This window comes from Homo sapiens, chromosome 4 (genome assembly GCF_000001405.40).
Source record: "Homo sapiens chromosome 4, GRCh38.p14 Primary Assembly".
NCBI lineage: Eukaryota > Metazoa > Chordata > Mammalia > Primates > Hominidae > Homo > Homo sapiens.
Window position 1 is genome coordinate 52,724,158 of NC_000004.12, and position 15,507 is coordinate 52,739,664.

A 15,507-nucleotide genomic window follows, 5' to 3' on the forward strand; every position below is an offset into this window, starting at 1 on the left:
TGATGAACATGATAAAAGATGATTGCATTTCTGTTCGGTGTATACCTACAAATGGAATTATTGGATCATAGGTTATATACCATGTTCAAATTTAGTAGATATTAAATATTTTAAAACAGTTTTTCAAAGTGTTTGAGCCAATTTACACTTATCAGCAACATATGAGTATTCCAGTTGTTCCACATTCTCATCAACACTTGGTATTTTCCATCTTTTTTCATTTTAGCCATTTTGGTGGGTGATAATTGTGCTTCAGGTGATTTTGATTTGCAGCTCCCTGATGATTAATGAAGTTGAGCACCTTTTCATCTCTTTATTGGCTATTAAGAAATAACTTCATGAAGTGTCTGTTAAAATCTGTGCCCATTTTTAGTGTCTTTTAAATTTGTATTTTCCTAACATTTGATTATGAAAAATTTCAAATATTTAGCAAAGTTTAAAGAGTTTTACAATAGCGTCTGTAAACTTACCACATAGATTATTCTACCATTAACATTATATAACACTCACTTTAGGATATTTCTACATTTACCTGTATCTATCTTAATGTTGTTGCATTTCAAAGTAAATTGCAAACAGCAATACATATTTGGCCATTTAAATATTAATATTTCAGCATGTATATCATTAACTAGAATTTAATACTTCAGGTTTCTTTTGATGTAAAATTTACATGAAATGAAATGCACAAATCTTTAGTGTATATATTTGCTGAGTTTTGACAAATGCATTCATTTGTATAACCCAAACTTCTATCAAGTATAGAACATACTATCACCCCGGAAAGTCCTTCATGCTCCCTACCATTTCCACTTTCCCAGGGACAACCAATGTTCTAATTTTTTTCCTCACTGTAGATTAGATTTGCCTGTTTCAGAAGACCATATAACTGGAATCATACAGTATGTTCTTCTGTATAAGGCTTCTTGCACTCAGCATGCTGTGTTTGAGATTTATTCATATTGTTGCATGTGTCAATAACTTATTCCTCCTTATTTCTGAGTACTATTCCATTGGATGAATATATCACAGCTTGTTTATCCATTGTAAGAAGATTTTTAAAAATGACTTTATTGAAGTATGATTGGCATGCTAAAAAGCTATACATATTCAATGTACACAACTTCATAAGTTTGGAGATAAGTGTACACCCTTAAAACCATCAGCACAATCTATGCCATGAACCTAATCCATCACCTCCAAAAGTTTTCTCCTGACCTCTTTATTATTATTATTGATAATAACCCTTAACATGGGGGGAGGGAAAGAGAGGGAGAAAAGTTGGAAAAACTGTTGGGTACGATGCTCAGTACCTGGCTGAAGGGATCATTTGTACCCCAAACCTCAGCATCGCGCAATATACCCAGGTAACAAGCCTGTACATGTACCCCTGAGTCTAAAATAAAATTTGAAAAAAATAAAATAAATTTAAAATAACACAATGTAAGATATATCCTCTTAGCAATTTTTTAAGTATACAGTATTATGTTTTTGTTTTTAGAATTCTAAATATTCATCCTTTGTCAAGTATATATGTCACAAATATTTTCCCCCATTTGGTTACTTTTCATTCTTTTAATGGTATCTTTTGAAGAAAACTTTAATTTTGAAATATTCAATTCATTAGTTTTAACATTTAGTGTTTTTTGGTTTTATTTAAGAAATCTCTGCCTACTCCAGGTTATAAAGTTTCCTCCTGTTTTTTTTTTTTTTTTTTTTTTTTTTTTTTTTTTTTTTTTGAGACGGAGTCTCTCTCTGTCACCAGGCTGGAGTGCAGTGGCGCAATCTCGGCTCACTACAATCTCCTCCTCCTGGGTTCAAGCAATTCCCCTGCCTCAGCCTCCCAAGTAGCTGGGACTACAGGTGCACACCACTATGCCCAGCTAATTTTTGTATGTTAGTAGAAACATGGTTTCACCATGTTGACCAGGATGGTCTCCATCTTCTGATCTTGTGATCCACCTGCCCCAGCCTCCCAAAGTGCTGGGATTACAGGCATGAACCACCACGCCTGGCCCCCCAAAAGCTTTAATGTTTTAGTTTGCTCATTTAGATCTGCAATCCATTTGGAATTGATTGTTGTGAATAGGGACATAGAGGTAGGTCCAGATGCCTGTTGTTTCTATGTGGATAGCTAATTGATCCAGCATGTTTATTCAAAAAATCCATTTTCCCACTTGCAATTGTCGTAAGTCAAGTGACCACGTATGTGTGGTCCTGTCTCCTGACTCTGTTTTGTTCTATCAGTTGGTTTTTCTACCTTTACAACAATGCCAAACTGACTTCATTACTTAGCTTTATCGTAAGCCTTAATAGTGTATCAGTGAACCGAATTTTCAATGTAATTAAATTTAAATTTAAATAGCCACCTGGCTATTGGCTACTGTATTGGACAGCACAGATATAGAACATTTCTATCCTGGCAGAAAGTTCTGCTGGATAACACTGTTCTAGAAAGCATGTAGAAGGCAATACCAGATGCTTCATTTCATAGCTGCATGCCGGGCTGCTCTTCAAAAATATATATGTAAAACCTTTTTTCAAAAACTCAGAACACAGCCTCCTATAGTTACGACACCAATTCTTTTAACCTTGCACTTTTTGCAATACAAATACTATGTCAGGTGCAGGAGAGCTTAGTGAGTTGGGAAACATTTTCTTTGATCAGACACCAAAAAATAGTAGCCCCAAATCATAGGAAAAGATTCCTGCTGAATTACCATTACTTGTAGTTCGTTACCTGCTCTCATCCAAGGTCACACTTAATTCTCTTACTGCTCCAGGAAAGCCCTGGGCTGTCACTAGCTGTATTTGAGAGAGCTTGCCTTCAGACTTGCAATCAGGGGTCTGAGTCAGATCTGGCTCCTGTAAGGGATTCCTCAAGCCATATGGTCCTAGTCTATCCATGACACTGTAGACTTGTGACTGTAAAATGATGCATTGTACTTATTTTATCCTTGAGATGTTACTTGAGAAATTGTGTGTATTTATTTCTCCCTATAATGTTTGTATTTGATAACTATTTCTTTTCCAATGTTTTGTGTTTTATACTACTGTGATGGCTATTTTATCATCAATTTCCAGACTGCAGTCTAGCCCAGGGCTTTATTTTTATTTTTAGAGACTGGATCTCGCTGCACTCCACCCAGGCTGGAGTGCAGTGGTGCAATCATAGCTCACTCCAACCTCAGCCTTCTGTAGCCTAGGGCTTTAGGCACGATCTAAATCTCCATTGGGCAACAAAATGTTTGTGGAGCACTTACTCTGTGAGAGGCACTATGCAAGGCCCTGAGCAGATAGATGACAAATAACAGATCACTGTTACCATTGAGCATCTACTATAGTCCAAGCTCTTGTATTTGTTATTTTTCATGATCATAACAACTCTGCAAAGGTAAATGTTGCTTCTTCATTTTCAAGATGATAAAGCTAAGGTTGTGGAGTGGGGGGGAGTCAAACTCCTGTAGATAGTAAGTGCTGGAGCTGAGATTTAAGCTATGAATTCACCTTACAGAAATGGGCCCTTTGAGAAGACCCTGAATGTGAATGTGGTGGCTGGATCTCTAGCTGCTACCTTGGGCCACAGGGATGAGAATCACATCCTAGACGTTATGGTCTGAATTGTACCTCCCTCAGATTCATAGGTTGAAGTCCTAACTCCCAGTACCTCAGAATGTGATCTTATTTGGAATGTGACCTTTCAGATGTAAATAGTTAAGATGAGGTCGTACCGGAATAGGGTATGACCAACTTGACTGGTGTCCTTATAAAAATGGGAAATATGGACACAGACAGATAAACACAGGAAGAATGTGATATGAACATGAAAATGAAGACAGAGGTACTTCCACAAGCCAAGGAATGCCAAAGGTTCATAGCAAACCCCTGGAAGCTAGAGAGGAGTCAGGGAACAGATTGGTGCTCACAGCCCTAGGAGGAACCAACCCTATTAATAGCTGATCTCAGAATTCTAGCCCCTAGGACTGTGAGAAGATACATTTCTGCTGTTGAAGATACCAGTTTGTAGTACATTGTATGCCAGCCTTAGAAAACTAACACACTAAGGGCTGGGCATGGTGGCTCGCACCTGTAATCCCAGCACTTTGGGAGGCTGAGGCGGGTGGATCACCTGATGTCAGGAGTTTGAGACCAGCCTGACCAACATGGTGAAACCCCATCTCTACTAAAAATACAAAAAATTAGCTGGGTGTGGTGGCAAACGTCTGTAATCCCAGCTACTCAGGAGGCTGAGGCAGGAGAACAGCTTGAACCTGGGAGGCGGAGGTTGCAGTGAGCCGAGATCATGCCATTGCACTCCAGCCTGGGCAACAAGAGCAAAACTCTGCCTCAAAAAATAAAATAAATAAAAAGAAGAAAACTAACACACTAGAGATGGCTGAGAAACTCACACACTAGGATGGCTGAAAAACTCTCACACTTGCGATGGCTGAGAAACACACACACTAGGAATGAAGTGGAAGGAACTTGAGACCCTGAGGATGCTGTGAAGCACAGTCTCCACATCAGCACTGGTCTGAACAAAAATGAATATTTTCTTATTTAAATGACTACTATTAGGGCCTCTGTTATTTGCATTCAAACCTAAATGACAGTTAGGATAAAGTCCAAACACCTAATTATGACATACTAGGCCTATCAAGAGTTGGCCCTTGCCTTCTTTTCTACCTTCCCCTTTCTAACCCCGCATATTCTTCAGTCATATAGGACTACTCCTAAAGCTCTCTCCCCACTGCTTTCCTCTGTGCACACTTCTTCCTGTCCTATAAGTGATATCTTTTGTATCTTTTTCCCTCTGCCTGTGTATTATTTATTTATTTTGTTAAGCCTTCTTAGCTTGGCCACATCTTAACATAGGTTTTATATCCTCCAGAATTCCTTCCCTGACCTCATCAGGCTAGATCTCTTATCTCATGGTACCAGTGCTTCCTGCTATCATAATGTTTACCAATTACATTGTAGATTGTAAATTTCTTTTAGAGCTCAGTGCCTGTTTCATCATAAATACTCATTAAATCTTTGCTCGATGGTTGAAAGAGCACTACTGTTTTTCCTTGGCCTTCTATGGAAAGATATTCTCTGAATTTCTAAAAAATAAGATCTTACAAATATTTTTAATGAGCAGCTCAAAAACAAACCAAAGATAGCAATAAAATGAAGCATCTGGTACTGGCTTCTAGATGTCTTCTAGAACAGCGGTGTCGATAGACTTTCTGTGAGGAGGGAAATGTTCTATATTTATACTGTTCAATATAGTAGCTCCTAGACCTATGGCTAACTACAATAAAATAAAGTTAAAAATTTAGTTCTTTGGTATGAAAGGCTGAATAACGGCCTCCAAATATCTCCACATCCTAATTCTAGGAACCTGTGATTATTACTTCACATGGCAGAAGGGACATTGCAGATGTAATTAAACTAAGGATCTTGAGATGGGGAAATTATCCTGGGTTATTTGGGTGGGCCCTAAATGTAATTAAAGGTGTCATTACATGAAGGACACAGGAGGAGATTTTACTACAGGCCAAAAGAAGGCAATGTGACAACTGAAGCAAGAGGCCATTCTGCAGGCTTTGAAGACAGAGCTGGAGTAAGGGGCCTCCAGTCAAGGAATGCATGCTTCTGCAAGACTAGGTTGAAAACAAAACAAAAGGAATGCATAAAATGCAACTCTAGAATCTGGAAAAGGTAAAAAAACAAAAAACAAAACCAAAAAAAAGAGATTGTCTCCTAGAGCCTCCAGAGGGAGAGTGACCCTGCTGTCACCTTGATGATGGCCTAGCAAAACTGATTTTAAACTTCTGGGCTCCAGAACTGTAAAACAATAAATGTATGTTGCTTTAAGCCACCAGGTTTGTGGTAATTTGTTATTGCAGCCATAAGAAATTAATACATTCAGCAGAACTGGCCACATTTCCAGAACCCATTTTAGATGGTGCAGCTCTAGAGTTTTCTGCTTGCCACAGACACATATGTGGGAGATCTCTCGGATGCTACATCTTTCAGACTTTAGACATTCTGAATATTAATTTGCTACATTCATACATGAATTTATGGTATAATTGTTTTGCATGTGGAAACCAAGCCTAGAAAGCTCACCTATCTTCTGCTAAAGCAGAACACTAGGACTACAGTAAATCAAGGCCTTTCTTCGACACTGTGATCCCTTACTTTTTACTACTCAAGACCATTTATAAATGGCCTCATTTTTCTCATGAACGTTGATACCAAAGAGAGGTGTTCCAGTTCAATTCACCTTTGGAACGCCAGAAACATCATCAAGTCAGATACAAATCATATTTCTTTGACATATGTCTCATTTAATAAAAAAATGACTTTGATGTCTTAGTTTTGCTTGGTGTGTACATGTACAGTCCAGGCAGGAGCATATCTAAGGTGTGGAGGTGAAGGAGACTCACCTCTAATCTCTGCTTCAAAAGGCTCCACACACAATAACCCTCACAGCAGTACAGCAGTGCATTGCAGAGTTCAGCTTTGTGCCTCTACCTGTCTGCACACATGTGAAAGTTTTATAATGGGTAAGAATTGTTAGCAAAATGTAAGTCCTGCTTTCCTTGGAGATGGTAAGAGGAAAAAATAACCACTAAACAAATTCCATTAAAGCAATTACTATAATGCCTTGTATTATAATCCTTAGCACTCTAGTTAATGTTAACTAGTTGGGAAAGGATGTTCATAGCCTACCCACTTCCATTAAAATTTTTTTTTCTTCTCGTAAAATATGCATAACACAAAATTTATCTTTTTAACAATTTTCAAGTGTACATTTCCATGGCATTGAATAGACTCACAATGTTGTCCAACCACCACCACTTCCATTTCCAGAACTTTTTCATTATCCCAAACTGGAACTCTGTGCCTGTTAAATAATAATTCCCCATTTCCTGCTCCCCCCCCAGCCCTGGGAATCACTATTTCTACTTTCTGTCTCTATGAATTTGACTATTCTAGGTAACTTATGTAAGTGGAACCATATAGTATTTGTCCTTTTATGTCTGGTTCATTTCACTCAGCATGATGTTTTCAAGGTTCATCCATGTTGTAACGTGTCAAAATTTTCTTACTTTTTAAGGCTGAATTATATTCCATTGTATGTATTGACCACATTTTGTTTGTCCATTCATCTGTTGATGGACATTTGGGTTGTTTCCTCCTTTTGGCTATTGTGAATAATGTTTCTTTGAACACTGGTGTACATGCTGGTGTATTTTATTAGTGGGCTACACAAACCTATTAACCAGAGTTTGCATAATATGGGAAATAGGTTTAAAGTCTCCACTAAATAAGTGGTTATACAGTTTGATCATACATTAGAATTACTGGGGGTTTTAAAAAGTTCCCAGTATCTATGTTGCACCCCTGAAAAATTATGTGACATTACCTGGGAATGGGACCCAGGCATCAGTGTCTTTTGTAAATCTTACCTCATGATTCCACTGTGCAGCCAAGTTTGAGAACTAGTGCCCTAAACAATTGCCTCATAAATATTGTTTCATCTAAGGCTCTTTTCCTTTCCCTACAATCTCTAAACCACACTCAGGTTTCCCATACTTACAAATCCAATTTAGCTGAATTAAATTCATTGTCATGTTTTCAAGCTCTTTCCACCAAAGCAGTTACTCATATAATTTAAGCTTAAGGGGGAAAATCTCAGCTCTGTCTAAAATTATTAAGGAAATGTTTGCTCCTATCAGCAATAGGATGCATATAGTCAAATATATTTTAAAAAGTTAATCTACTAATGAAACTCTAAACACATTTTAATTGCAGGACTGATAATTAACTTTTTATTTATTTATTTATTTATTTGAGATGGAGTCTCGCTCTGTCACCCAGGCTGGAATGCAGTGGCGTGATCTCAGCTCACTGCAACCTCCACCTCCAGGGTTCAAGCAATTCTCCCTGCCTCAGGCTTCTGAGTAACTGGGATTACAGGTGCCTGCCACTACACCTGGCTAATTTTTGTATATTTATAGAGATGGGGTTTTGCCATGTTGGCCAGGCTGGTCTTGAACTCCTGACCTCAGGTGATCCACCTGCTTCGGCCTCCCAAAGTGCTGGGATTACAGGCATGAGCCACCATGCCTGGCCACAAAATTAACTCTTACTAATACAATTACTAAATACTGCCTTGGGAATGTCATGCTAATGTAATTTTATAGGAAAGAAAGAAAAGCATCATTATTTGCAGGTGACACAATTGAAATGCTTGGAAAATTCAAAATAATCAGCTTTTAAAAAGTTCTGAAGGTATACAAATAGTTAATGGCAAGAAAAAGAGATAATCCTTATATAGGATCCTTAGATAGCCAGTCATACCAGCTGAAAAATAAGAGATCCAATGTATAACAGCCACAAAAATTAAAAGACTTAAAACAAAAGATGCAGTACACATTTATTTGTTTAATTATAAACCATATTGGACAATGCTTCAGAAAGTGGCTTGTAGAACAGGCTGCTTAGGGGATACTCCTGGCTTCCAGCACTTAGTAGCTGTGGGAACTTGGGGAGTTATTTAACCTCTCTGTGCCTGAGTTCATCTATGTATAAAGTGGGGAAATAACAGTACCTACTGCATAGTATTAGAAGGATTAGATGAGTTTAAAATCTACAGTGCTTAGAACAGTCCCTGCTACAATAGCATCATTTCAGTGTTAGCTTTTAGGTTTATTATGAGGAGTCTTTTGAGAAAGGAAATGACTACGTAGAGGGCTATAGCATATTGTTGAATAGAGTGAGTTTATAGGTGGGAAAGGAGACAGAAAATAAATACACAGTGGATGACTGGGTGCGAAAGAAACAAGTCTGAAGCTTGAGACTAAATATTTTATATATTTGTCCTCCCTATATAATATGAAATTGCATGAATGTGTATAAGATTTTTACATCAATACAACTCCAGTTAAATACAGAGAATGCTAAATATAGTATAAAGGGAATTTATAAAAATTAACATGGCAAAATAAATGGATTTAAATATAAAAGAATATTTGAACAAGAAGGGCTGTTATCAGCTTTTACAGCCTATTATGCAGCACTTACAAAACAGTAGTGGCATAGTAAATACTATTTCAAGAACTAAGAATCTAGAAACAACTCCAAGTTTAAAGAAAGCAAGAGGAAACATGGCTGTATAAGGTTTTTCAAAACTGAAGGGGATGTACATATATATCCTATGTATACACAATATGTATGTATATACACATACACAGTTTTCTATATACTATATATATGTGTGTATATATTTATACACATATATACATATATACACATATGTATACATATATACATATACACATATGTATACATATACAATATGTATACATATATACACATATGTATACATATACACACATATGTATACATATACACACATATATACACACATGTATACATATGTACACACATGTACACACATGTATACATATGTACACACATGTATACATATATGTATACACACGCATATATACATATATACACACACACACACATATGACTGTGCCCAACTAATTTTTAAATTTTTAAAAATTTTTACTTTTTGTAGAGACAGAGTCTTGCTACCTTGCCCAGGCTGGTCTTGAACTCTTGGCCTTAAGTGATCCTCCCACTTTGGCCTCCCAAAGTGCGAGGATTACAGGCATGAGCCACCATGGTTGGCCAATATAGTTGAATAATTGGATAGAAACTTGAAAAATACTCTGAAGGCCTTAAACATTACAAAAATAGGGAACCATTAGAAAACAACTTTTAAAACAAACTATGAAAGAAAAATTAATTTCTTTCTGCTTTGAAGACCTCGGTAGAAACAGACTGGAATATATATTACAATTTTAAGTATCTGTAAAATACTTACACAATGGAACACACAAAAGCACAATAACAGAATAGGAAGATTTAAAAATCAAGTATGACCAAAAAATTTATCCATCTCCACTTCCATCCTGGACATGGTGTGTCTTGCTTTAACTTCTGAAATAGCTCCTACTCGAATAGGTTTCTCTGCTTTTACCCTTGCCTTCCTAAAAATCCACACTCCACATGGAAAGCCAAGTAATCCTTTTTAAAGAACTTAATAAGGCAGGGTCAACTCTCACACTTAATACTCTCCATTGCCTTCCCAGTGCACTAAAATAAAATCCAAATCCCTACTCATGGTTCATAAGGTTTCACATGATCCCTCACCTTATGCCAGCCTACTTCAGCCATTGATATGTCCCACCTGAGTCTTTGTACCAGCTGTTTCTTTTCTTTTCTTTTCCTTTCTCTCTCTCTCTCTCAACCAGTTGTTTCTTTTCTTTTTTCTTTTCTTTTCTTTTCTTTTCTTTTCTTTTCTTTTCTTTTCTTTTCTTTTCTTTTCTTTTCCTCTCTCTCTCTCTCTCTCCCTCCCTCCCTCCCTCTCTTTCTTTCTTTCGAGATGGTCTCACACTCTTGTTGCCCAGGCTGGAGTGCAATGGCACAATCTTGGCTCACCGCAACCCCCGCCTCCCAGGTTCAAGCGATTCTCCTGCCTTAGCCTCCTGAGTAGCTGGGATTACAGGCATGCACCACCATGCCTGGCTAATTTTTAGTAGATATGGGTTTCTCCATGTTGGTCAGGCTGGTCTCGAACTCCTGACTTCAGGTGATCTGCCCGCCTCGGCCTCCCAAAGTGCTAGGATTACAGGCGTGAGCTACCGCACCCAGCCACTTTTTTTTTTTCCCCAAGATGGAGTTTTTTTCTTTCCCCCTGGCTGGAGTGAAATGGCCATCTCAGCTCATTGCAACCTCCGCCCCAGGGGTTGAAGCGATTCTCCTGACTCAGCCTCCCGAGTAGCTGGGATTATAGGTGCCCACCACCATGCCTGGCTAATTTTTTTGTATTTTTAGTAGAGACAGGGTTTCGCCATGTTGGCCAGGCTGGTCTTGAACTCCTGATCTCAGGTCAACCACCCGCCTTGGTCTCCCAAAGTGCTGGGATTACAGGCGTGAGCCACCATGCCCAACCTCTACCAGCAGTTTCTTTTGTCTGGAATGCTCTTCACAATCCCCCATCTTTACAAGACAGGATTCTTCACATGCTTTAGATTCCAGCCTACATAGTTCTTTCTCTGAGAAGCTTTATCTGAGCCCTCAGTTTAAAGTAATAAAAACAAAACAAAGACTAGAGGCTGGGTATGGTGGCTCACACCTGTAATCCTAGCACTTTGGGAGGCCGAGGCAGGTGGATCATTCAAGCCCACAAGTTGAAGACTAGACTGGGCAACATGGTGAAACCCTGTCTCTACCCACAAAACTACAAAAATTAGCTGGGCATGGTGGTGCACATCTGTAGTCCCAGCTACTTGGGAGGCTGAGGTGGGAGGATTGCTTGATCCCAGGAGGCAGACATCAGAGTGAGCCATGGTTGCCACTACACTCCAGACTAGGTGACAGAGTGAGACCCTGCCTAAAAACAACAACAAACCTAAAACAAAACCAAAATATATTTCTATATGCCAGGCACTTTCTAACCCTTTACATACAAAACTCAAAATATTCTCACAAGAACCCAATGAGAGAGATTCTATTATCATTCCCATCATATAGCAAGAAAACTGAATCCCAGCAAATTTGGGTAAAAATCTCAGTATACAGCAAGAAAGTAGCTTATAAGCACCTTTATTTAATTGCTGTGCTCTGCTGCCTGTACAGGGAGCCTTCCAGCTACTCTCAACCATATCACTGTTTTTATTTTCACTATGGCACTTTTCAAAGTGTGATTTTTAAATTTGTGAATTGTTTCTATTGACAGAATGTCTGTCTTGTTCACTGCTATATGTCCAACACCTAGAACAATGACTAGCACATTGGAAATACTTAATACTCAATTTATACATATATATATATACACATATATATACACATATATACACATGTATATACATACACACATATATACACATATACACATATATACACATATATACACATGTATATACATACACACATATATACACATATACACGTATATACACATATATACACGTATATATACACATATATACACACATATATACACATATATACACATATGTATACACATACATATACACACATATATACACATATATATACACACATATATATACACACACACACATATATATATAGTGTGTTTTTTAGATGGAGTTACACTCTTGTTGCCCAGGCTGGAGTGCAATGGTGCAATCTCGGCTCACTGCAACCTCCTCCAGGGTTCAAGCGATTCTCTCACCTCAGCCTCCCGAGTAGTTGGGATTACAGGCACCCACCACCACACCCAACTAATTTTTGTATTTTTAGTAGAGACGGGGTTTCATCATGTTGGCCATGCTGGTCTTGAACTCCTGACCTCAGGTGATCCACCCACCTCGGCCTCCAAAATGCTGGGATTACAGGCATGAGCCACTGTGCCTGGCCAATTAATATTTTTTGAACGAATGGATGAATAAGTGAAAATTAAGAAATCATTCAACTTGATAAAAATAAAGATTATGAAAGGACCAATTTTATTCCCACTCAAAAGTTCCTACTTTCTTTTAATGCTATGCTGTCTGATGGCTATAGTACCTGCATCCCTCATTTATTCTAGAGAGGAAAGATAAAATACCAGGTAATGCACCATGCCATTAAGGGACTACAGTATTTCTTCAGATTGGGAAGCCTCCCAAAGGTAATATTTAAACTGAGACCTTAGTGACAATAACTCAAGCCATGTGAAGATGGACACAGGGGAAGTATTCCAGGCAGAGGAACAGCTATAACAAAAGTCTCAAGATAAGAACAAACATGGGAAATCGAAGTATCTGATCATATATGGGTTTATGGGCTGTGTAAAGAGTTTGGATCTATTCTTCAATGATAAGCCCTTGAAGACTTTTCATATAGGAAGTTATGTGATACTGGTTATGTTTTCTTCTTTTCTTTCTTTTTCTTCTTTCTTTCTTTTTTTTTTTGACTGGGTCTCACTCTGTCACCCAGGCTGGAGTGCAGTGGCACGATCTCGGCTCACTGCAACCTCCGCCTCACGGGTTCAAACAATTCTCCTGCCTCAGCCTCCTGAGTAGCTGGGACTACAGGTGTGTGCCACCACACCCAGCTAATTTTTTGTATTTTTAGTAGAGACAGGTTTCACTGTGTTAGCCAGGATTGTCTTGATCTCCTGACCTTGTGATCCACCCCCCCTGGCCTCCCAAATTGCTGGGATTACAGGCATGAGTCACATGTCTGGCCCTCATTTTTGTATTTTTTTGTAGAGTCGGGGTTTCTCCATGTTGGCCAGGCTGGTCTTCAACTCCTGACCTCAAGTGATCCGCCCACCTTGGCCTCCCAAAATGCTGGGATTACAGGCATGAGCCACTGCGCCTGGCCAAGTGATACTGGTTATGTTTTCTAAAGTCCGCATTTGCCTAAAGCACAAAGAATAGATTTTTAGGGGGATAAGATTAAACACAGTAGGTTTCCGAAGTGGCTAGAGGAAGTGGTGGTTTAAAGTGGGGTAATGCTGATAGATTATTCTGACTGTGTTGTGGAAATTGAGTTGAAGGAGCTTGCTGGTTGATTGGATGTGTTGGAAAAAAGGGAAAGAAAGGAATAGTGAAAGACCACCTGAGTTTTGGCATGAGCAACTGGGTGGAATAGTGTCATTATTCATTGAGATAAGGAAAACTGAAGAATAAGTCTGGGGGAGGGAGCTGAAAGTGAAGTTTGTTCATGCTAAGGTTGAGATGCCTCTTCAGCATCCAAGGGGAGATGACAGATAAGTACAAAGAGACATGAGTTTGGAGTTGAGTAGTGAAATCCAGGTTTGAGATACAGATTTGGGAATCATTGCTGGAGACTCAAGAGAGCCAATTGTGTAGTTCCTGTTTAAGGGCTGGTAGGCTTGAGACCCAGAAAGAGCTGAAGGCAAGGGGGAAAGGTCAAATTCACAGGCAGTCAAGCAGGAAGAATTCTCTTCCTCAGGGGAGGGTCAGCCCTCTTATTCTCTTTAGGCCTTCAGCTGATTGGATAAGGCCCACTCACATTAGGCAGATAAATCTGCTTTACTCGGTATTCCCATTTAAGTGTTAATTTCGTCCCAAAACACTTCTACAGAAACACTCAGAATACTGTTTAATCAAATATCTAGGTGCTCTGTAGCCCAGTAAAGTTGACACAAAAATTAAGCATCACACTGTGATTCAGGGAAGGTGTTTGGAAAGAGGGAGTGGCCAACCATTAAGACTGGCACTGCACGATGTGTTAAGAAGTTTATAGACCATTTATTTGGCAAAAGGGTTTTTTGAATATCTTTGTAGAAATTATTAGGAAGACAGAAGGTATGAAAGGGCAGAGTATTTCCTTAAGATACATTTCCTGTGAAATTACTCTGCCAATGAAAATGAAATTTTAAATATCCTATTATACATGGTACATTTGCTTCAACCTTTCTGAAGGATAGTTTAATACAGAAAAAAAACTCATTAAAAAAGGCAACTAGGTTTAACATACATAAACTATATATGTATATATTTACACATCTGTTTAATTTGAGGATGTAAAATACTATTACTTTTTAAAGCTTTTTACTCTGAATTATATATTTAAAAAAAAACAGTGCAGAGAGATTCCACGTAGCCTTCACCCAAATTCTCCCAAGTGGAAGTCACTATAGCACAAAAACAAAACTAGAAAATTGACATTGAGCTGTGTGTGCCAATATTACATCATTCTGTGTCATTTTGTCATGTGTAAATTCATGGAACCATCACAACTCAGATATAGAATTATTATGTCACCACAAAGATCTCACTCAAAAAGTGTTATGTCCTAAGGCTTTCGTTTGGAAAACAGAAAAAAAAATCATCCACATTTCCTCCCAAACAATTATTTTTATTGCATATATTCCCTCACAGTTGTAATTACTGTATATCATAATATTTTCTTAACAGCAAATGCACATTTTCTTCACCTTTGACTTTGTACACCTCTAGGTTTTGAAAGCAAATCGACCCATGCTGCAGGATTATCACAGGGTTGTTGCCACCCCTGAAATATTCCTTGTGGTAGTACTGATTGCTGGTTAAGATGGCTACATTTAAATACTCATCTTCTGAAGCTTTCTGTGGAGAAATTAAAAAACATATATCTTGTATAAAGTCATAGATAACAATCAAAAGAATAAAAAGTATTTGTTCTTCAGTAGTCCATCTGTGTAACTATCATTAGAATTGTATGAGGAGCCTAGCCCAATTACTTTTCATGATTTAAGTGAATTTAGCATTTTCTTGTTGCTTGTACTTTGTATGTAGATTCTCTAGATGCCAATAATGATGGGTTAACTTTTAAAGAAGTGAATATATATACACATATGTGTATATACCTATATATAAATTGAGGAGACGATTTAACTTTTGAAAACGATGTCTTGACTGAATACTGCAAAGCCAAAGACAAAAAAGCAAACGCTGTATTCTAATTGGTTACTTT